The 23,398-nt window shown below is 47.0% G+C and overlaps 1 protein-coding gene and 1 long non-coding RNA gene across 2 annotated transcripts in view, besides 5 other annotated features; both read left to right on the top strand.

The window, feature by feature from the left end:
* The first annotated feature begins 731 nt into the window (after positions 1–731).
* LOC105378120 (uncharacterized) lies at positions 732–8,194 on the top strand. The gene is made up of 5 exons (NR_188001.1): positions 732–1,242; positions 2,392–2,451; positions 2,856–2,905; positions 5,832–6,018; positions 7,457–8,194. It is a non-coding gene; the product is annotated as an uncharacterized LOC105378120 (long non-coding RNA).
* Positions 16,058–16,344: a transcriptional cis regulatory region, noted in NCBI's record as "candidate enhancer chr6.5886 targeted for multiplex CRISPR interference". NCBI's record gives its function as "positively regulates RNASET2 gene expression in K562 cells {active_cell/tissue: K562}" and the evidence as "EXISTENCE:mutant phenotype evidence [ECO:0000015][PMID:30612741]".
* Positions 17,025–17,144: an enhancer, noted in NCBI's record as "active region_25443". NCBI's record gives its function as "activates an Ori minimal core promoter by ATAC-STARR-seq in GM12878 lymphoblastoid cells {active_cell/tissue: GM12878}" and the evidence as "EXISTENCE:reporter gene assay evidence [ECO:0000049][PMID:35858748]".
* Positions 18,109–18,158: a silencer, noted in NCBI's record as "silent region_17786". NCBI's record gives its function as "represses an Ori minimal core promoter by ATAC-STARR-seq in GM12878 lymphoblastoid cells {active_cell/tissue: GM12878}" and the evidence as "EXISTENCE:reporter gene assay evidence [ECO:0000049][PMID:35858748]".
* Positions 18,429–18,528: a silencer, noted in NCBI's record as "silent region_17785". NCBI's record gives its function as "represses an Ori minimal core promoter by ATAC-STARR-seq in GM12878 lymphoblastoid cells {active_cell/tissue: GM12878}" and the evidence as "EXISTENCE:reporter gene assay evidence [ECO:0000049][PMID:35858748]".
* Positions 18,569–19,328: a silencer, noted in NCBI's record as "silent region_17784". NCBI's record gives its function as "represses an Ori minimal core promoter by ATAC-STARR-seq in GM12878 lymphoblastoid cells {active_cell/tissue: GM12878}" and the evidence as "EXISTENCE:reporter gene assay evidence [ECO:0000049][PMID:35858748]".
* RNASET2 (ribonuclease T2) overlaps positions 19,094–23,398 on the top strand; it is a 34,438-nt gene continuing 30,133 nt past the window's right edge. The window contains exons 1-2 of the mRNA NM_003730.6: positions 19,094–19,547; positions 23,096–23,156. Of these exons, the coding sequence (NP_003721.2) occupies positions 19,462–19,547; positions 23,096–23,156 (147 nt within the window). The 5' untranslated portion in view covers positions 19,094–19,461. The remainder of the gene's footprint in view (positions 19,548–23,095; positions 23,157–23,398) is intronic.

Here is a 23,398-nt window from a genome sequence, read left to right as displayed (position 1 = left end):
CTAATTTTTGTATTTTTCAGTAGAGACGGGGTTTCACCATGTTGGTCTTGAACTGTTGACCCCAGGTGATCCACCCACCTTAGCCTCCCAAAGTGCTAGGACACCCAGCCACAAAATATAATTTTAAGGAGTTTATGCAGTCATAAAGAAGAACAAGATCATGTCTTTTGCTGGAACATGGATGGAGCTGGAGGCGATTATCCTTAGCAAACTGACACAGGAACAGAAAACCAAATACCACATGTTCTCACTTGTAAGTGCGAGCTAAATGATAAGAAATCATGAACAACATAGGTTGGAAACAAGACACTGGGGTCTACTTGATGGGGGAGGGTGGGAGGAGGGAGAGGAGCAGAAAGGATAACTATTGGGTACTGGGCTTAGTACCTGCGTGATGAAAAAATCTGTACGACAAGGACCCCGTGATGCAAGTTTCCCTTCACATGTACCCCAAACCTAAAATAACAGTTAAAAAAAAGTTTACTTGAGCCAAGTTGAGAGGACAGCCACCTGGAAGACTCAGACCCAGGTCACCTTGGATATGAGCTCTGTTAGGCCTTTGACAGAAGCAGGTTTTCCAAAGCAATAAGAGGGACAGGGAGTGGGCTGATACAGCTGTTTGTCAGGAATTCCCATTGGTTAGACAAATAAGATTGATTAGTGATTGACTATACATTGGTGAACTGTGGGGTATGGAGTATGGTGTCCAGTGAGTGGCCTTGCTTGGTTAGTTGATAGCTGCTTGTGGCAGCAGCTGGTCTAGAGCCCACATAGCAAGCAGCTTCAAGAGCTGATTACTTAGCTCAAGGCGGGTGGTGGGATGGACTGCTGCCTCACTCTCATGCCTCTGTGGGTCTATAATTTATAGCAGGCTTGCATTCCTCAGATAAAGTTTCTTTTCTTTCTCAATTTCTATACAGAGATCCCTCAAGTTGCAGGAAATATGGACAGGTACTCAGGCCTTTTGATTTCCAGCACACAAGTTTCTATACCCTTGCCAACAGTTAGCTGCCTGATCTTTTCTAAAAGGGCTCAATGAATGCAAACGTCAAACTTCTCTTTGCAGCTAGATCCAAATGATCACCCTGCATTAGTCTGTTCTCACACTGCTCTAAAGAAATACCTGGCTAATTTATTAAAAAAAGAGTTTTTTGTTTGTTTGTTTTTAGGCTCACTGCAAACTCCGCCTCCCGGGTTCAAGTGATTCTCCTGCCTCAGCTTCTCCAGTAGCTGGAACTACAGGTGCCCACCACCACACCCGGCTAATTTTTGTATTTTTAGTAGAAACAGGGTTTCACCATGTTGGCCAGGCTGGTTTCAAACCCCTGACCTCGTGATCCACCCTCCACGGCCTCCCAAAGTGCTGGGATTACAGGCGTGAGCCACCGCGCCTGGCAAGAAAAGAGGTTTAATTGGCTCACGATTCTGTAGGCTGTACAGGAAGCATAGCAGCTTCTGCTTCTCCGGAGGTCTCAGGAAACTTTCAATCATGGTGGAAGGCAGAGGGGAAGCAGGCATCTTACATGGCTGGAGCAGAAGGAAGAGAGAGAAGGGGAAGGTGTTCCACACTTTTCAAACAAGCAGATCTCATGAGAACTCACTTTACAGTACCGAGGGGGGATGCTGTTAAGGTGTTCATGAGAACTCCGCGCCGTGATCCAATCACCTCCCACCAGGCCCCATCTCCAATACTGGGGATTCCAATTCCCCATGAGATTTGGTCGGGGTACACAGATCCAAACTGAAGCAGAAAAATAGGGTCTGGAAGCAGGGAACATAAGGCCGATTCACACTTCAGCTATTACAGGAAATATCCTCTCCACAGGGTGCACACCGAGTAAAAGACTGTGTATCTTTACTTCATCCTCTTCATTTACACAGGGTGCACCCAAAGTAACCAATGGAATATAACCTCTAGAGGGTATCTAAACTCCCAGAAATTCTGTAACGGGGCCTTAGAGCCCCTCTGTTCAGCCCTGCTCCCACACTGTGGAGTGTACTTTCATTTTCTTTTCTTTTTTTTCTTTTTTTTGAGACAGAGTCTTGCCCTGTCACCCAGGCTGGAGTACAGTGGTCTGATCTCGGCTCACTGCAACCTCTGCCTCCCAGGTTCAAGCAATTCTCTGCCTCAGCCTCCCGAATAGTTGGGATTACAGGCGCCCGCCATCTCACCCAGCTAATTTTTGTATTTTTAGTAGACACGGGGTTTCACCATCTTGGCCAGTCTGGTCTTGAACTCCTGACATCAGGGTGATCCACCCACCTCGGCCTCCCAAAGTGCTGGGATTACAGGCTTGAGCCACTGCGCCCAGCTGTGTACTTTGATTTTCAATAAATCCCTTCATTCCTTCCTTATTTTGTTTGTGCCTTTTGTCTAATTCTTTGTTCAAGACACCAAGAAACTGGACACCCTCCACCGGTAACATATTTTGGCGAGCCAGCCAGGAGAAGGTAGGCCCAAAGTTTGGGATTTATTTTTCTCCTTTCCCCTTTTACATACAGGGAGATTTTTCTCTGTCTGTCTGTTCCTTTCCACCTCGGGACCCTTGGTGGGAAGCGCAGAAACATGGAAGCAACTGCAGGTTTCTGGCTGTGACCAGTGAAATAAGGGGTTTCCATGTGGAGGTGCCTAACCACCACCACCCTATTCACTTAAGGGACCTGAGTGTTTTTCTTTTTTCTTTTCCTTTGTTTGTTTTTCAGTCTTTTAGCGGCTGTTTCCTAGTAGCTTCTTGGAAATTGAGGGCAATTCGCTGGGGTCACTCCCTGGTATCGCCTGAAGGCCAAAGAGTGAATGGGAATAATTGCCCTACCCAGAAGGGGGAATGACTCTTTTTTTTTTTTATCTTTTCCAGGTGTGGTCCCTGATCCCTACGGTGGTGGTGGTAACTCACACTTGTTTCAGGTGACTTAAACCTTTTCTTATGCTAAGTTTTTTGCTTGTCCTATTCAACTATCTAAGGACAAAAAAGCCCACCCAGCATCCAGTTCCTATGTATCATTACAGTTCAGGGCTATCCTTATCAAGCTCATAGCTCATAGGAGGCTCTGGAGGGAAAACATGCAGAGAAAGGTCAGAGACGTCTGACACTCTTTTGGACCCCATAGGGGGACGCCCTGAGGATCCTCCGAATCTCAACCTCTCCAAAGGGGGTGCTCTCGGCAGAGGTTTTGAGGTCTAGTACTAAGCCCCCCTTAGAATTTTCTCTCCGGTTTGCAATACTGTTTAGCCCCAGTATAGTTTGGAATCTGGAGTTTCCTGTTGAATGGGAAAGTGGGATGGCATTGCATGTATCCAGCCTTTGTTGCTGCTGTTCTAAGCAGGGGGCCTGGTTAACATGTGACATGCTCCTTGGGTGCTGTTTGGCCCCAGTGTTCTTTGGAATCTGGAGAGGTTTGGTCTTGAAAAATCAAGCTCCATGGAGACTGCTTTACCTGAAATTTTGGTTCACAGCCTTTGTTGGATTATCTATTGAGACAAAGTAAATGCCAACAAGCTTGTATTGCTATCTCACAGCTAAGGTTCCAAGCTGTTGGTTCTTCGTTTATGTGTGGGTCTACATGTCTAGATGTGTTTATTTGTATGTACACCTATTGTAATACATTGTGTCTACCAAATTGGCTTACAAGTAAAAGAGCACTCATAAATAAAGTAAATAAGTTTAAGCAATTTTCAAGTTCACCTGACTTAAGTATAACTTTGCTAAACAAGCTGACTTTAAAATTATTGGTAGAATAAAAACAGAAATGTAGGAAGGGCACAGTGGCTCATGCCTGTAATCCCAGCACTTTGGGAGGCTGAGCTGGGTGCATCACCTGGGGTCAGGAGTTTGAGATTTAAAATGCTACTACTGCACACAATGTGTTTTTTAAAAAATGTTAAGCCAGTAAGTACTCAAGCACTAGGAAAACCCTCCTAAACATGCCCTGACGTAACCCTTCACAGAGAAAGGTCCTATAAAACCAACCCACACACTACCCTTGGGGAGCAGCCTAGTCGTTTTTCCTTCTTGGTGCTGACTTCCTTGTGCACAAGCTAAAATAAACTCTCTTTGCTACTATGTCTGGTGATCTCTCTTGATTTCTATCCTGGGAGATTACAAGGACCCAGGCACCTGTAACACCACGGTGCAATGCCAGCCACAGTTGGCTTCCTAAAGTGGGTGTGTGGCAGGTGTCCGGGAGCATTTGAGGCCAGGGATCTGGACCAGTGGTTCCCGATTGGAAGCTTCTGGTCCTCAGGGGACATTGCAATGTCTAGAGGCATTTTGTGTTGTCACAACTTGGGTAGGGAGTGCTCCTAGCATCTGGTGGGTAGAAGCCGGCAATACTGCTAAACATCCTACAGCACCCGAGGCAGCGCGCCCACCCACCGCGCACCAGAGAATTACAGCCCAACGTGTCAGTTATGCTGAGAATGAATCTTGATCTTGAGGGTCAACTTGATTCAGTATGAAGTTATTTAAAACATAACCCCCGAAGCTTTGTACATTCGTGAATTCTGCTGGTCAAGAATTCTCAGGAGGCAGAGTGGGCAGGCCCCTGCTCCGTGATGCTTGTGGCCTCGGCTGGAAAGAGCTGAGTGTCGAGGTCACTGGGGCGGCCAGAGCAGGCCCCGGGCTTCCTCACTCCCATGCCTGCCCGGGGCCACCCAGGGGTGAGGCGAGCTGCGACCGTCCCCGTGCACCTGCACGCAGCCTGTCTGTGTGGCCAGGCTTCTTTATACCCGACACCTCAGAGCGGTCACCTCAGGGCTCTGAGGGGGAGTGTTCCTGCGCTCAGGGTGGGACTTTTATGATGGGACCTTTATGGGAGCCACCCAGGGTCCCTTCTGATGTACGCTGTTGGCTATAGCAGTCACAGCCCTCCCAGATTCAGAAGGATGGAACACAGGCCCCATCTCTCCATGAAAAGAGGGTCCAATAATTTGTGACCTTGTTTCAAAATTGCCACAGAGATGGCCCTCCCTTTTCACTGCTCAGCTCAGCCGTGCTGTGACCCAGTGCTTGGGCTCAGCTTGTCCTAGAGCACCATCCCTCCCACCCCTGCAAACCCGGGGCAGAAACGCTCCTGGTGTTTGTCCCACCCGAGGCCTCCATATCAAGGATGTATAGGTTTTTCTTTTAAATGTCAACAAGAAATGTCTCTGTCCCTAGACAATGGGGCTGCTTACAGTAACCTAGGTGAATTCTCTCAAAAGTGATTCATCTTGCTAAGGGAAGGCTCCTCTGTACTCCTCCCTCTGCCCCAGTGTGGGACCCTTACTCTTGACAGGTGCCATCTGCTTCTCCTAGGGGCTGGAGGGGTGCACACAAAGCTACCTGCTGCAATGATTTCCAGATGTCATGGTTCCCTTATTTATCAAAGTATAATTTTCAAGAGGTTGTAAAACACAATCCTCATACCAATGTATGAGGATGCAATGTAAGTGCATGTCAAAGACTTAATACTGATGTGGAAAAAATCAGGTGATAAAGCTAGTTCAAAGATAACCTGAAACATTGTTTATTTGCTGAAGAAAGATGAGGAATGAGATTGCTAGATACAAAACTGGTTAATGCACCTTCAGAGAACTAAAACTTAACTTCAGAAATTATCTTTTCTATGAGACAAAAATAATTTGCATTTGTATCCTAGCAAGATTCTAAAAGTTGTTGGAAACAGTGAGTTCCTCCTCAAAGGTTCCTCTTGTCCTTTATTTTCAAAGCCTAACTACCTTGCCTCCTTGCCCGTAATTACAGTAAACAACCTTCCAGCCGTTCCCAATCTGTAACCCACATCCGTTCCCAATCTGTAACAACCCACATCTGTTCCTTATTTGACGCCCTTAGTTCTGAAACTGCTCTTCCTGCTGCTGGAGCCCCCACCCCTGCTCCATTTTGAAGTAGCTGATCCGGATCAGCTTAGATTGTGCCAAGTTTCAAGAAAAAGATGAAATATGAGTTGCATTTTGACAAATGAAGAGGATGTGAAGGGCAGAAGGAGCAGAAACTACCAGCAGAGATGCTAAGATGAAAGGTTAGCACACCAGTAGAGACAGTTAGACTGGGGAAAAGCCTAATTTCTAGTATTCTGAGCCATGCGCCATGGCTGGCTTTGCGTTCTGGTGCATTTTCTATTCCTGTTGCTTGTCTGGTGCAGAGCAACCTTCAGTCTCTTCCCCTGTACCTGCCTTTAATGTTCTTTCCCCCGATGCTTCTGTTTGATGTTGATATTAACAGACATGTACAGAAGGTTAACACTATGATGAGCCAATTAGCCATCCCACACACAGACTTATTAGGACAATAATAAAAGCCAAATGATGAGGACATCTGGTTTACTTCAAGCTAGTGAAGACAAGTCATAAGTCATCATCTTAATCTAGTCCAGGTAAACAATTTTGTGGTTTAACTAGCTTCCCAAGCCAAAATCAGCTCCAAGAGTAAAAGTAAATTACTTTAATGACTAACTATATTTTGAGGAAGGAACAAGATAGCCTTTAGACTAAATAGACTCTACTTTTTAATTTGTGGCCAAATGCTTGAAAGAGATTAAAGGAAAATGCAAAGATATGTCAATATAAGAAAACAAAATAAAATAACAAAATAAGAAAACCCTTTTATTCCTAAATTTGATTTATAAATGTCAATATGGACTCATGATATATTTTCTTTTAAAAAAACATAAATCAAGGCCGGGCACAGTGGCTCACGCCTGTAATCGCAGCACTTTGGGAGGCCAAGGCAGGTGGATCACCTGAGGTCAGGAGTTCAAGACCAGCCTGACCAATATGGTGAAACCCTGTCTCCACTAAAAATACAAAAAAATTAGCCAGACATGGTGGCACACACTTGTAAGTCCAGCTGTTTGGGAGGCTGAGGCAGGAGAATCACTTGAACCTGGGAGGCAGAAGTTGCAGTGAGCTGAGATCACGCCACTGCACTCCAGCCTGGGTAACAGAGTGAGACTCCATCTCAAAAAAAAAAAAAAAGAAAGAAAGAAAAAAAGAAAGAAAAAGAAAAAAAACCATAAATAGAACAAATGAGCAAACAAAATTTATTTCCTAGCTCTATCTGCTGAAAAGTGTTAGAAACAAGGACCAACCCAGGGGCAATAAGCAACCCTTGGGCCAGGACTATGACCTCTAAATACAAATTTCAACTAAAAAGAGCCAGGGTTCCCTTTAACAAAATAAGGCAGGAGTAGCAATATGTGTATTAACTGATATGGAATTTGAGGCCAAATGTATGACAGTACAAAACAGGACTTTAATGACAAAAAGATGAATTTTATAAAGAAAATCAAAAGAAATTGTATCAAGAAAAATAAAATGTTATAAAGAATGTCATGGCCAGGCACAGTGACTCATGCTTGTGATCCTTTGGGAGGCTGAGGTGGGTGGATTGCTTCAGCTCAGGAGTTTGAGACCAGCCTGGACAACAAAGTGAGATCCTATCTTTATTTTTTTTGAAAGGCACAGAGTGCAAGTTGGATTGAAAAAACAAGACCTATCCGAGTGCTGACTTCAAAAGACTCATCTCATACATAATGACACCCATAGGCTCAAAGTAAAGGATTGGATAAATATTTATTATGCAAATGGAAAACAAAACAAAAAAAAGAGCCAGAGTCACTATTCTTATATCAGATAAAATAGACTTTAAACCAACAAAAGTAGAAAAGGACAAAGAAGGGCATTAAATAATGATAAAGATTTCAGTTAAACAAGAAGACTTAACTATCCTAAATATATATGCACCCAACATTGGAGCACCCAGATTCATAAAACAAGTACTTCTAGACCTATGAAAAGACCTAGACAGCCATAAAATAGTAGCGGAGGTTTTCGACACCCCATTAGAAAGGTCATTGAGGCAGAAAACTAACAAAGAAATTCTGGACTTAAATTGGACACAACCAGCTGGACCTAATTGACACCTACAGAACACTCCACTGATCAACCACTCTTCTCATCTGCACACAGAACATACATCAAGATTGATCACTAGCTTAGCCATAAAGCAAGTCTCAATAAATTCAAAAAATCAAGATCATACCAACCACAATCTTGGGCCACGGTGGAATAAAATAGAAATCAATACCAAGAAGATCTCTGAAAACCACACAATTACATGGAAATTAAAAAACTTACTCCTGAATGACTTTTGAGCAAACAATAAAGTTAAGGCAGAAATTAAAAAATTATTTTAAATAAATGAAAACAAAGATACAACATACCAAAATCTCTGGGATGCAGCAAAAGCAGTGTTAAGAGGAAAGTTTATAGCACTTAACGCCTACCTCAAAAAGTTAGAAAGATCTCAAATTAACCATCTAATATAATTCCTAGAAGAACTAGAAAAACAACAACAAACTAAACCTAAAACTAACAGAATAAAATAAGTAACTAAAATCAGAGCAGAACTAAACCAAATTGAGATGCAAAAATCCATACACAGAATCAACAAAACCAATAACTGGTTATTTGAAAAGATAAACAAGACTGGCAGACCACTAGCTAGAGTAACAAAGAAAACGAGAGAGACAAAAGATCCAAATAAGCACAATGAGAAATGACAAAGGCAATATTGCAACCAATACCACAGAAATACAAAAGGTCCTCAGAGACTATTATCAACACCTCTATGTGCACAAACTAGAAAATCTAGAGGAAATGGATACATTTCTGGAAGCACACAACCTCCCAAGATTGAATCAGGAAGAAATTGAAACCCTGAACAGAACAATATCAAGTTCCAAACTTGAATCAGTAATAAAAAACCTACCAAACAAAAAAAGCCCTGGTCCAGATGGATGCACAGCTGAATTCTACCAGATGTTCAAAGAAGAGCTAGTACCAATCCTAGCTCTTCGATTGATTCTTGGAATCATTTTTGGAAATGATTCCAAAAAATCAAGCAGGAGAAACTCCTCCCTAATTCATCCTACAAAGCCAGAATCACCCTAATACCAAAACCTGGCAAAGACACAACAAAAAAAGAGAAAATCACAGGCTAATATCCCTGATGAACACAGACAGAAAAATCCTCAACAAAATACTAGCAAACCAAATCCAGCAGCAACATACACAAATCAACAAATGTAATGCATCACATAAACAGAACTAAAGACAAAAACCATATGATCATCTCAATAGACATGGGAAAAGCTTTCAGTAAAATCCAACATCCTTTCATGATAAAAGCCCTCAGCAAACTAGGCCTCAAAGGAACATATTTCAAAATAATAAGAGCCATCTATGACAAACTGATAGCCAACATACCAAATGGGGAAAAGCCAGAAGCATTCCGCCTGAGAACCAGAACAAGACAAAGATGCCCACTGTCACCTCTCCTATTTAACGTAGTCTTGGAAGGGCTAGCCAGAGCAATCAGTCAAGAGAAATAAAAGGCATCAAAACAGGAAAAGAAGAAATCAAACTATCTCTCTTCACTGATAATATGATTCTATACCTAGAGAACCATAAAGACTCTATCAAAAGGCTCCTGGAATGATAAATGACTTCAGTGAAGTTTCAGGATACAAAATCAAGACACAAAAATTAGTAGCATTTCTATCTACCAATAATGTACAAACTGAGAGCCAAATCAAGAATGCAATTCCAGGGCCAGGTGTGGTGGCTCACACCTGTAATCTCAGCACTTTGGGAGGCTGAGGTGGCCAGATCACTTGAGGTGAGGAGTTCGAGACCAGCCTGGCCAACATGACGAAAATCTGTCTCTGCTAAAAATACATTAGCCTGGTGTAGTGCCGGGCACCTGTAATCCCAGCTACTCAGGAGGTTGAGGTGAGAGGATGGCTTGAGTCCAGGAGGTGGAGGCTGCAGTGAGCTGAGATGGTGCAACTGCACTCAAGCCTGGGCAACAGAGTAAGACTCTGTCTCAAAAAAATAAAAAAAAATAAGCCAGTCGCAGTGGCTCACACCTGTAATCCCAGCCCTTTGGGAGGCCGAGGCGGGCGGATCACCTGAGGTCAGGAGTTCGAGACTGGCCTGGTCAACATGGTGAAACCCCATCTCTACTAAAAAGTACAAAAATTAGCCAGGCATCGTGGTGGGCGCCTGTAATCCCAGCTACTCAGGAGGCTGAGGCAGGATAATTGCTTGAACTTGGGAGGCAGAGGTTGCAGTGAGCCAAGATCGCACCACTGCACTCCAGCCTGGGCAACAAGAACATGACTCCATCTCAAAAAAAAAAAAAAAAAAAAAGCAATTCCATTTATGATGGCCACAAAAACAATAAAATATCCAGGAATACATCTAACCAAGGAGGTGAAAGATCTCTACAGGGCAAACTGTAAAACTCTGCTGAAAGAAATCATAGATGAGACTGGGCGTGATGGCTCATTCCTGTAATCCCAGCACTTTGGGAGGCCAAGATGGGCAGATCACGAGGTCAAGAGATCGATACCATCCTGGCCAACATGGTGAAATCCTGACTCTACTAAAAATGCAAAAATTAGCTGGGCATGGTGGTGCACACATGTAGTCCCAGCTATTCAGAAGGCTAATGCAGGAGAATCGCTTGAACCTGGGAGGCAGAGGTTGCAGTGAGCTGAGATTGCACCACTGCACTCCAGCCTGGTGACAGAGCGAGACTCCATCTCAAAAAAAAAAAAAAAAAAGGAATCATAGATGACACAAAGAGTAAAGCATTTGATGCTCATGGATTGGAAGAATCAATATTGTTAAAATGGTCATACTGCCCAAAGTAATCTATAGACTTAATGCTATTCTTATCAAACTGCCAACATCATTTTTTCACAGAATTAGAAAAAAACTATCCTAAAATTCATATGGAACCTAAAGGAGCCTGAGTAGCTAAAGCAATCCTAAGCAAAAAGAACAAAGCTAGATATATCATACTATCCAACTTCAAACAATACTATAAGTCTACAGTAGGCTGGGCTCGGTGGCTCATGCCTGTAATCCCAGCACTTTGGGAGGCTGACTTGGGCGGATCACGAGGTCAAGAGATCTAGACCATCTGGCCAACATGGTGAAACTCCGTCTCTACCAAAAATATAAAAAATCAGCCAGGTGTGGTGGCACGCACCTGTAGTCCCAGTTACTCAGGAGGCTGAGGCAGGAGAATCCTCAGCTTCAGGAGGCTGAGGCAGGAGGCGGAGGTTGCAGTGAACCAAGATTGCACCACTGCACTCCAGCCTGGGCCACAGAGTAAGATTTCATCTCAAAAGAAAAAAAAAAGACTACAGTAAACAAAACAGCATGGTACTGGTACAAAAATAGACACACAGACCAATGGAACAGAGTAGAGAACCCAGAAATGAAGCAGCATACCACATACTTACAGTCATCTGATCTTCCACAAAGTTGACAAAAATAAGCAATAGGAAAAGGACTCCCTATTCGAAAAATAGTGCTGGGATAGCTGGCTAACCATATGCAGAAGAATGAAACTAGACTCCTATCTTTCACCAAAAGTTAACTCAAGATGGTTTAAGGATTTAAAAGACCTCATACTATAAGAATCCTGGAAGAAAACCCAGGACTCACCATTCTGGACAATGACCTTTGGAAAGAATTTATGACCAAGTCCTCAAAAGCAATTGCAGCAAAAATGAAAGTTGATAAGTGAGATCTAATTAAACTAAAGAGCTTCTGCACAGCAAAAGAAACTATCAACAGAGTGAACAATCTACAGAATGGGAGAAAATATTTGCAAACTCTGCCTCTGGCAAAGGTCTAATATCCAGGATCTACCATAAAATTAAATAATTTAACAAACAAAAACCAAATAATCTCATTAAAAAGTGGGCAAAAGACATGAATAGACACTTCTCAAAAGAAGAGATACAAACAGCCAACAAACATATGAAAAAATGCTCAATATCAGTGATTGTTAGGGAAATGCAAATCAAAACCAGAACACCAACCAGAATGGCTATTATTAAAAAGTCAAAAACCCCAGCTATGGCAACATGGTGAGGCCTTCATCTCTATACAAAAAAACTTTTGTTTTTTTTTGAGATGGAGTTTCGCTCTTGTTGCCCAGGCTGGAGTGCAGTGGCATGATCTAGGCTCACCACAACCTCCGCCTCCCGGGTTCAAGCGATTCTCCTGAATCAGCCTCCCAAGTAGCTGGGATTACAGGCACACACCACCATGCCCAGCTAATTTTGTATTTTTAGTAGAGATGGGCTTTCTCCAGGTTGGTCAGGCTGGTCTCGAACTCCCAAACTCAGGTGATCTGCCCGCCTCGGCCTCCCAAAGTGCTGGGATTACAGGCATGAGCCACCTCGCCCAGCCTACAAAAAATTTTAAAAAATTAGCCAGGCGCTGTGGTGTGTACCTGTGGTTCCAGCTACTCGGGAGGCCGAGGTAGGATAATTACTTGAGTACAGGAGGTCAAGGCTACAGTGAGCAATGTTCACGACATTACACTGCAGCCTGGGTGACAAAGTGAGACCCTGTTTAAAAAAAAAAAAACAACTCAAAAAACAACAGATGTTGGCAAGGCTGTGGAGAAAAAGGAACATTTCTACACTGTTGGTGGGAATGTAAATTAGTTCAGCTACCGTGGAAAGCAGTTTGGAGACTTCTCAATGAATTTTAAAAAGAACTACCATGGTCAGGCGCGGTGACTCACGCCTGTAATCCCAGCACTTTGGGAGGCTGAGGCGGGTGGATCACCTGAGGTCAGCAGTTCGAGACCAGCCTGACCAACATGGTGAAACCCCATCTCTACTAAAAAATACAAAAATTAGCCGGGCATGGTGGCGGGTGCCTGTAATCCCAGCTACTCGGGAGGCTGAGGCATGAGAATCGCTTCAACCTGGGAGGCGGAGGTTGCAGTGAGCCGAGATCATGCCGTTGCACTCCAGACTGGGCGACAGAGCAAGACTTCATCTCAAAACAAACAAACAACAAAAAAAACTACCATTTCACCCAGGAAAAATCCCATTACTGGCCATCTATCCAAAAGAAAACAAATCATTCTACCAAAAAGACACATGTACTCTCACGTTCATCACAGCGCTATTCACAATAGCAAAGACATGGAATCAACTTAGGTGCCCATCCATGGTAGGCTGGACAAAGAAAGTGTGGTATGTATATACCATAGAATACTACACAGCCATAATGAAAGAATGAAATCATGTCCTTTGCAGCAACACGGATGCAGCTGGATTATTCTAAGCAAATTAATGCAAGAACAGAAAACCAAATACCATACCACATGTTCTCACTTAAAAGTGGGAGCTAGGCTGGGCACGGTGGCTCACGCCTGTAATCCCAGCACTTTGGGAGGCCAAGGCAGGTGGATCACTTGAGGTCAGGAGTTTGAGACCAGCCTGACCAATATGGTGAAACCCCATCTCTACTAAAAATACAAAAATTAGCTAGGCAGCCGGGCATGGTATTTCACACCTGTAATCCCAGCACTTTGGGAGGCCGAGGCGGGAGGATCACGAAGTCAGGAGATCGAGGCCATCCTGGCTAACACGGTGAAACCCTGTCTCTACTAAAAATACAAAAAATTAGCTGGGCATGGTGGCAGGTGCCTGTAGTCCCAGCTACTCGGGAGGCTGAGGCAGGAGAATGGCGTGAACCCGGGAGGCGGAGCTTGCAGTGAGCCGAGATCGCACCACTGCACTCCAGCCTGGGCAACAGAACGAGACTCCGTCTCAAAAAAAAAAAAAAAAAAAAAAATTAGCTAGGCATGGTGGCCCTCGCCTGTAATCTCAGTTTACTCAGGAGGATATGACAGGAGAATTGTTTGAATCCAGGAGGCGGAGGTTGCAGTGAGCGGAGATCAGGCCACTGTACTCCAGCCTGGGCGACAGAGCAAGACTCCAATGTCAAAAAATAAACAAATAAGTAAGTGGGAGCTAAACCCTGGTTACCCATGGATGACAAGATGGCAACAGTAGACAGTGGGGACTATTACAGAAGGGAGGTAGGGAGCAGAGCAAGAGTTGAAAAACTAACTATACGATACTAGGCTCACTACCCAGGTGACAGGATGAACATACCCCCAATCTCAGCATCACGCAGTATACCCGTGTAACCAACCTGCACATGTACCCCCACATTTAAAATAAAAGTTGAAATTATTTTTTTAAAAAATACTTATTAAATATCTATTAAATTGTTGTTGTTGTTGTTTTGAGAGGGAGTCCAGGCTGGAGTGCAATGGCGCCATCTCGGCTCACTGCAACCTCCGCCTCCTGGGTTTAAGCGATTCTCCTGCCTCAGCCTCCCAAGTAGGTGGGATTACAGGCACCTGGCACCACGCCTGGCTAATTTTTTTTTTTATTTTTAGTAGAGACTGGGTTTAACCATGTTGGTAGGGCTGGTCTTGACCTCCTGACCTCAGGTGATCAGCCTGCCTCAGCCTCCCAAAGTGCTGGGATTACAGGTGTGAGCCACCGAGCCCAGCCAAAATTAACTGTTAATGTAATATTAAACTATTATTTGTAATGCAGAAGGGCTTATCTAAAGTAAAGCAGCTCAGTTATGTAGTAAAATCTCAGAAGTCTAAAATGCCTTGCTTATCTTTTTAAGATAAATAATTGTAAGACAGCTCAAGTAAGCAGCCTAATATCCACGTGTATAGGAGTATGTGTGTGCATGTGTGTGTATGTGTGTGCATGTGAGTGTGTGTGTAAGCTCATGGGTTTTTTTCTTTTCCTTTTTCAGAGTAAATATGCTTTGAAAATTTGACATCCATGATTAAATGTAATATATTGCTTTGCTTCACATTTCATAATAGCATGCTATTTGATCTGATTTATTCTTATTGTCTAGTTCCAGAAAGTTTTTTCCCTCTGGTTCCATCAGTTAAGTCACACTTGAAGAACAAATTATATTGTGAGAAACACATGACTGGTCTTTTCTGTTTCTCTCCTGTCCTCCTTTTGTCATGGCCACAGCTCAGAATAAAAGAGTTCCACAAAATGTGTACCACAGTGGCCAGGCTGGCATGGCAAGGCCAGAGGTGCTGGGACACCCTGACCAACATGGTCAAACTCCGTCTCTACTAAAAACACAAAAATTAGCCGGACGTGGTGGCACACGCCTGTAATCCCAGCTACTCGGGAGGCTAGGGCAGGAGAATTGTTTGAGCCTGGGAGACGGAGGTTGCTGTGAGCCGAGATTGTGCCACTGACTGCACTCCAGCCTGGCTGACAGAGTGAGACTCTGTCTCAAAAAAAAAAAAAGAAAAAGAAAAAGAAGAGAAAGGGCAGGGAAACACCCAGCAGCTGGCCTCACTTTCTCAGCAAATAAGTAATTCAGGATGGAAAGGAGTTTTTAAGGTGAGATTCTTTCAAGTGTGACAAAGCTCTTTAGAGCATGAGAATCCTAAACTGTGTAGTTGTGCCACTGCTCTGCCATTGGAATGGCCAGCACCAGATATGGGCTGTTCCTACCGCCTGGGTTCCAGAGTGAAAAATACCGTGGACCACAGTGGCATCTGACGCATAGCCAGCATGGAATATGGGCAAATGAATGATAAATGATCAACTTCCGTTTAAGTGAGACACTGAGATTTGGGGGCGGTGTATTATTGTAGCATAACCCAGCAAAAGCTGGCATGGAAACAGGAAACCTGGAGCTAATGCCAAGAAGAGGTTGTGTGGTGAAAGTATCTTGGTCTCTTCAGAATTAACAAGGATTTAAGGATGTCTGTTCATAGACATGGCTGTTGCCATCCTGTCCCCCTCCCCTCTCCTAAGGACATGTTTCTATACAAGCCAGCAGCATCTTTTAAACCTCATAGTTTGTACCCTTTTACACTATGTTGTGTGAGTCAATGTAATTCCCACTCTGGCCCCTGCCCACCTGCTTGATGCTGGAGCCCTCTTTGTTTTCGTAAAGCTGGGCGGCTTCCAGACCCAAATCCAGCCTTTACAGCCACTGCCTCTTCCCTACGTAGGGTTCCGTTTAGGATCCTGGTAGGTGGACAAGTAGTGAACAAGACAGATGACAGATGCTCCAGGTTCACATCCAAGTTTTGGGGGGTTGAGAGCTTTTCCATTTGGATGTCCTTCTTTAAGAACAAGAAGGTAAAATTGTGAATACGGAATGAGATATGGGGTCTTGGTGGGGCCCATGCCAGCAAGGGGCCTGAAGCTCCTCATTAGCTTCCGATGTGGGGGTGGGGGAGTAGAAGTGGGCAGTACAGGAGGAAGTGACAAGAATTCTCAGGGGTGGGGAGAACTGTGTCGAAAATAAACAAGGAAGTGCAACAGGAAATGACTGGGTGGCTTCTTCAGGCTGGGTAGGACGCTGCTGAATTTATCTGATAAAAATCTCCTCTCTGTGAGTTGTGGAAAGTGGCTTGCTGCGAGAGACCCCCTTCTTCCCCACATAACATAGGTAAGAGTGATAGAAGTGATGCAGCTGGGCGCTGTCTCCAAAAAAAAAAAAAAAAAAAGGAAAAGTGACGGATGCTCCCCTCACTCCACCCCCTACCCATTACCTAGGACAAAGCCAGACACAGATCCTCCAATTCCCATTCTTCACCTCATCAATGATGAGCCAGTCAATAGAAATAACACACTTGTTAAGCAAACTTGGTGAGGCTCCTCTCTTCCCCCGAGGCTGAGGACTTTTGGCCTCATCTTAGCCTGAGTCAGTCCCCCCTGAGAACAGGCTGGCCACGGGGTCAACCTTCTCTGATCTAATGTCCTATGAAGGCAGGTTCTCATCCCACTTCTCCATTCCCAGTTCATTCTTTCTCTCTCTTTCTTTTTCTCTCTTTCTTCTTTCTTTCATTCATTCTTTTTGTTGTTGTTGTTGACCGAGTCTCACTCTGTCGCCCAGGCTGGAGTGCAGTGGCGCGATCTCGGCTCACTGCAACCTCTGCCTCCTGGGTTCAAGCGATTCTCCTGCCTCAGCCTCCAGAGTAGCTGGGATTGAGGGAAGAGAGAGACCCTCTCATATTGTTTTATATTGTTTTATACTCAGTACCTGTTTTAAGAAAAAAACAAGGAAGTGAAATCAAAGACAGGCAGCCCGGCGCCAGGCCCAAAACCGGACCTGGGCCTGCCTGGCCTAAACCTAGTAGTTAAAAATCAACTCATGACTTAGAGACCGATGTTATTCATAGATTCCAGACATTGTATAGAAGAACATTGTGAAACTCCCTGCCCTGTTCTGTTTCTCTCTGACCACCAGTGCATGCAGCCCGTCACGTACCCCTTGCTTGCTCAAATCAATCACGACCCTTTCATGTGAAATCTTTAATGTTGTGAGCCCTTAAAAGGGACAGAAATTGTGCATTCGGGGAGCTCGGATTTTAAGGCAGTAGCTTGCCGATGCTCCCAGCTGAATAAAGCCCTTCCTTCTATAGCTCGGTGTCTGAGAGGTTTTGTCTGCCGCTCCTCCTGCCACAGGATTACAGTCGCGTGCCACCCCCGCCCAGCAAATTTTTGTATTTTTAGTAGGGACAAAAGGCCCCCAGGCCCCTGCAATAATGGTCCTCATAACACCACTCCTCCCCGAGTCCAGATTTGCTTTATATTTGGCAGTGGTCACAACAGCCCTCCTTGACAAGGGGCTGTTTAAACACACCGGACTGTGATTTAAAGGAAAATGAGGATTCTGGGAAGCACTTTTGTTTTAAGAAAATTATTTTTTTAGCTTAAAAGAAAAGAGAAAAAGAACTGTGGCGTGTGCCTATATTCTTGAGAGGAAGGAATGAAAGGAGCCGGAAAGAAACAAATAAGTCGTTAGGGAAAAGGAGAACGAGAATAACACCATGACCTGTAGGAGGTCCTGGAGGAGCTAAGGAGGTGTCAGCCATTTTCCCCCCCCATCTGTTCCACAGGTGGCATTTTATTGAGCACCGACTGTCCCCCATCCACTGTGCTCAGTGGCAGGGACTCAAGGTGGGCAAAATAGACATGGGCCTTGCCTTGCAGTCTAGTGGGAAAAACAGATTAATCATTTAAATATTTTGTTTCAAAGAATGGTAATGCATGCAGGCAAGGTCCAGGCCTGTGGGAGAGCAGGCTACAGGCCCACCTGCTATTTAGACAGTTACCAGTGGCAGAGGACCCCGAGGAAGGCGCAGTTTACTCGACGTGTAAATAGGAATAGCCTTAACTAGCTGTGGGTGTGCGGACAGGGAAGGGAAAGAGGAGAAACATCTGCAGAGACAATGCCGGGTGCACAGCCCGTGGGCGGGGCCGCGGGTGCAGGGGAACCCGTGCCTCTGAAGGGCTGGGAAGGCCAGGGTGTTGGGGGAGGAGACCGGGCCTATGGGACTGGCCCTGGCTACGCCAAGGTGGGGCTGACATGAAGTCCCCTTCATCCGTGGGGGGTGGCCCGTCCCTCTGGGAGGGGATCCCTCACAAGATGACTTCCCAGGTCGCGCCCCGAGGCGGCTCTTTGCTGCCCCCACAGAGATGACTTCCGGGCTCCTGGGGCCCGCGGGGAGGGGCAGGTGAGGCCCAGGGCTGGGTGAGGGCCAGGCCCTTCTAGGAATGTTGGTGCTCCCAGCACCTAGCACCGGGAGACTGGAGAGGTTTCCAGGAGAGTGACCCGAGTAGGTCCCCTCCTAATTCTGGAGCCGTCCCTCGGGCTGCGCAGTGGAGCGCCGAGGTGGCGGGAGGCTGCGGGGAGCCTGGGCGGCCAAGCACCATCTGCAGTCAGGAGCTCCCGGGCAGCTTGCAGGGCGCAGTTTTTGAAAGCGGGTGCTGCGTGCGGACCGCGGGCCTGCAGGGTGCGCGGGTCGGGCTGGGGGCTGTCCCTGGAGAGTAGAGTGGCCCTGGGGCCCGCACGCCCACTTGCTGGCGGGGGATGGCGCAGACACGGGCGGTCCCCCCGAGGGCGGTCCTCACGGGTGGTCTAGGTTAGCTCGGACCCGGGAGTGTGGGAGTGGCGCAGAGCTGCGGGAAAAGGCGCGGGGCGCCTGCGTGGCGAAGGAACACAGCCGCCTGACACGCCCTCAAGGCCCGCGGAGCTGCTCCTGCCTCGGCCTCTCTGAGCCAACCACGGGGCGGGGCGTGAACGCCGGGCGGGGACGTGCCGTTCTGGGGGGCGTGTCCACCGGCGGGGGCGTGCCGTCCTGGGGGCGTGGCTCTCTGCTCCGGTGCAGGCCCGCAGGGCGCCCTGGGCTGGGAGCAACGCGACTGACCGTGGTCGTGGGCGGACGGCGGCTGCAGCGTGGAGGAGCTGGGGTCGCTGTGGGTCGCGAAGCAGAGCCCGGGACGTGCGCGCTTGGTGCACGATCCTGAAGGGGAGCTCCGAGGGGCCCGGGTCGCCAGGGCTGCTGCGGCCATTCCCGGAGCCCGGCGCGGGGCCCGCGAGATACTGGTTTAGGCCGTCCCAGGGCTCCGGGCGCACCCGGTGGCCGCTGCTGCAGCGGAGGGAGCGCGGCGGCGCGGGGGCTCGGAGACAGCGTTTCTCCCGGAAGTCTTCCTCGGGCAGCAGGTGGGAAGTGGGAGCCGGAGCGGCAGCTGGCAGCGTTCTCTCCGCAGGTCGGCACCATGCGCCCTGCAGCCCTGCGCGGGGCCCTGCTGGGCTGCCTCTGCCTGGCGTTGCTTTGCCTGGGCGGTGCGGACAAGCGCCTGCGGTGAGTTACCTTGCGAGGTAAAGTGGGGAGCGTGGGAGCCGGGCCCTAGAGCTTTCCACTGGGTGAAGGCTGCAGCTCTCGGGGTCGGCGGTCGCTGAGCCCCGGGCAGCGACTGGGGAGGGCGGGGGGAGCCGAGCACGCTCCGGGGTGACCCCTGGGAAGAAGTTGGGAAGTTGAGCACGCCTCGGGGTGACCCCTGGAGGGAGTGGGTTGGGGGGAGCCCTTAGCACACTCAGAAGTGACCTCTGGGAAGGAGTGCGATGAGGGGAGTCCTGAGCACGCCCCGGGGTGACCTCTGGGAAGGAGTGGGTTGGGGGGAGCCCTGGGCACGCTCTGGGGTGACTCCTGGGAAGAAGTGGGTTGGGGAGCCCTGAACACTCCCCGGGGTGACCCCTGGGAAGGAGTAGGGGGTAGGGTGAGGTCCTGGGTACACTCCAGCCTGGAGCTGGACTGGAAACTCATCCCACAGACTGCTCCCAGCCTAGGACGCGACAAAGCAGGTGGCAGGCTTGGTGGAGCACTGTTCCTGCACTCGAAGTTCTCTCAGAGGTCGAAGAAGTCGTGGAGGGGACACTTAATTTCAGCTTTCACTGCGGCGGGTGGTGAAACGACGGTTCTTCCTCTTTTTGAGTATCCTGTTCTGAATCCCTTCCCTTGGCTCGCCCTCCGCGTGTGTGTGTGTGTGCGCGTGTGTGTGTGCGCGTGTGTGTGTGTGCGTGTGCGTTTGTGTGTGCGTGTGTGTGTGCGTGCGTGTGCGTGTGCGTGCGTGCGTGTGTGTGCGTGTGTGTCGTGTGTGCGCGTCTGTGCGTGTGTGTCGTGTGTGCGCGTGTGTGTGTGTGCGTGTGTGCGTGTGTGTGCGTGCGTGCGTGTGTGCGCGTGTGTGCGTGCGTGTGTGCGTGCGTGTGTGCGTGTGTGTGTGTGGCAGCCGCCCAAATTAATTAGGGGTAAACAGGCGGTGCTGCAAAGAACTCCAACTTTAATTCTGTGGAAGATACCAATATTTGAATACCATATTATTTCTTTCTATTTGGGTAATGATCGGGTTAATAGGATTTCTTACTTACATAGTAGGTGTGGAAAAGGTGGGTTTTACTTATTTATTTTTTTTTAGACAGTCTTACTCTGTCACTCAGGCTGGAGTACAGTGGCGTGACCTCAGCTCACTGCAACCTCCACCTCCCGGGTTCAAGCGATTCTCCTGCCTCAGCCTCTGAGTAGGTGGGATTACAGATGCACACCACCACGCCTGGCTAATTTTTGTATTTTTAATAGCCAGGCTGGTCTCGAACTTCTGACCTCAGGTGATCCGCCCGCCTCGGCCTCCCAAAGTGCTGGGATTACAGGCGTGAGCCACTGCACCCGGCCAGGGTTTTACTTTTTAAACACCTTAGGTATATATTTTTAATCATGTACATTAAAATGTAGCATTATATTTCAGTGTTCCGGAAAGTGTATTTTCTGAAAAAGAGCTACATTTATGTCCTTATTTATTGGCCATGAGGTTCAGAGCCTCTCACTGGGGAAGTCTGTGGCATGCTGGCCCTTGCTGGCTGAGTGGAAACTGCTAGTTCACACCCAGGTGTGGGACCTTTGAGCTCTCTATGCCCCAGTTTCCTCATCTGTAAAGTAGAAATAGTAACAGTCAGCCTCACAGAGTTGGCTTCAGGAGAAATCAGTTAAGGTACAGAATGTAACTTGGAATGATGTCTGGCTGGAAGTAAACATTAGCATAAAACAGGCTGTCATATGTGGATCCCCCACCCCAGCCCATAATTCATGCAACTGATATGATCGGACAAACTTGAGCAGGCAAGATTTGCGAGAACATGGTTGATTCAGACCACGAGGGCTTCATAGGTCAGCGGGCATTTTCCCAAGTTCTAACTGGTTTTGAGACCTTGGTGATTTTTCTTTCTTCTTTGACTTTCTTTAGCTTCTCCATTACTTTCTCCGTGAATAGGGGAGGGGGGCATCTGTGTGGGAGGGGGTCTCCTGCAGTCACATCACTCTGCCTGGTTTTAGATGGAGAGTTTGTTACAAACGTCTGAGTCTTGGTAGTTTTGTTGTAAGCATATTGATAGTCTCATCTTCCTGGGTGTTGCTAAGCTTTCCAGCCTCAGGTTCCGACTATGTAAAATAAGGTTTTTCACCCAAGGGTAAAAAATGCTTTACCAGCTCCAATTCTCACCCTGCAGCTCATCCTTTTTTTTTTTTTTTGAGACAGGGTCTGGCTGTGTAGCCCAGGTTGGAGTGCAGTGATGTGATCTGGGCTCACTGCATCTTCCACCTCCTGGGCTTAAGCTATCCTCTTGCCTCAGCGCCTTCCAAGTAGCTGGGACTACAGGTTCATGCCACCACACCTGGCTAATTTTTGTAGAGACAGGGTTTCACCATGTTGCCCAGGCTGGTCTTGAACTCCTGAGCTCAAGCAATCCTCCTGCCTCTGCCTCCCAAAGTGCTGGGATTATAGGTGTGAGCCACCACGCTTGAACCCTTTTTTCCTTTTATACTGAGAGCTTGCATAATTAGTTCCAATGTACAACTAAGTTTTCATACCATCTTAACTGTAAATTCTATACAAATTCAACAGGACTCAATTATTTACAAAAGCTAATGTGTGACAACTTGATCTTCTTACTTGGAATCTTCCCTTCTAAAATTTGATTTATCCTGAAGTGTCTGCTTGACTTATATCCTGTGTTGCTGCTGGCTTTTTCCATGTGCATTTTTTGCAAGCTGCTCTTTTTACTTCAGTCTCGTTAAGTCTTGCAGTTCTGGCTAGAGGCCTACTGCCATGAATAAGCTGCCGCTCCACAGTGGCTTCTTTGAAGTCTTAGAGTCAGATGAGTTTCACGGTGTTCAGGTTTGTGATCCAGTGTGGCCCCAGGTTCTGGGTAACACGTGTGATGCAGTGCTGTGTGCATACCATGTCGTGAATAACATTCATGATGCAGTGCACATACCGTGTTCAAGTTAACAGTCCTGGTGGCATCTGAAGTAGCACCCTAAAATCAAATGACACAAATTCTGCAGAGAAGCAAGTGAAGTCTAAAAACTGAGTTGGGGTAGTAACGATAAATAGCGTTATGCTAGTTCAGGTTATGTTTTGTTGCCAAATGAATTACAAAAAACTACCAGGTTTCAGGCTTTTATGGGTTTCACGAATGCAGGGGAGGGATCGTGGGTCTGCATTTCTCTTGAGCATCCTTAGGAGAAAGGTGCTTCGTGGCTCAGTGGCTTCCCTTCAGTGAGGCCCTCCCTGGCTGCACTCCTAGCTTGCCCTGCCTCCGCTTCCCCTCCTCTCCCCTCCTCCCCTTATCCTATTCATGTTCTCCGCCACTCAGCACTGGACGCCACCACACGTGCCTTCTTAGTGTAGGGGTGTACCGCCTTCCTCACGGGAGTGTGTGCAGCAGCAGGGCAGGCAGTGTTCCTCCTCCCACAGCACTCAGTGCTGAATGAATGATTGAAGGGATGGATGGGTGGATGAATTTTTTCTGTAACTTTAAAAAAAGTTCTTGAAAAATAAGTTTCTTATGTTTTAACAGTGACAACCATGAGTGGAAAAAACTAATTATGGTTCAGCACTGGCCTGAGACAGTATGCGAGGTGAGTGTTTCTGCCTTGACGGGCCCTGGGGCCTGGGGAGCCCTGTGAAGAGGGGTTTGTGTGCACGTGCCCGTCCAGGGCACCCACGCTGCTGGTGCGGGAGGTAGGCATCGCTCTGGCGGGTGGGCGGTGTCTCCTGCAGAGACTGCCTCCAGGAGGGCTGTGTGTGAGCTTCCCAGGGCTGCTGTAACAAAAGTGCCACAAGCTGGGTGGCTGAGAGCCTCAGGAATTTATTCTCACGG

This window comes from Homo sapiens, chromosome 6, assembly GCF_000001405.40.
Source record: "Homo sapiens chromosome 6, GRCh38.p14 Primary Assembly".
NCBI lineage: Eukaryota > Metazoa > Chordata > Mammalia > Primates > Hominidae > Homo > Homo sapiens.
This window is presented reverse-complemented; position numbering and strand designations above follow the sequence as displayed.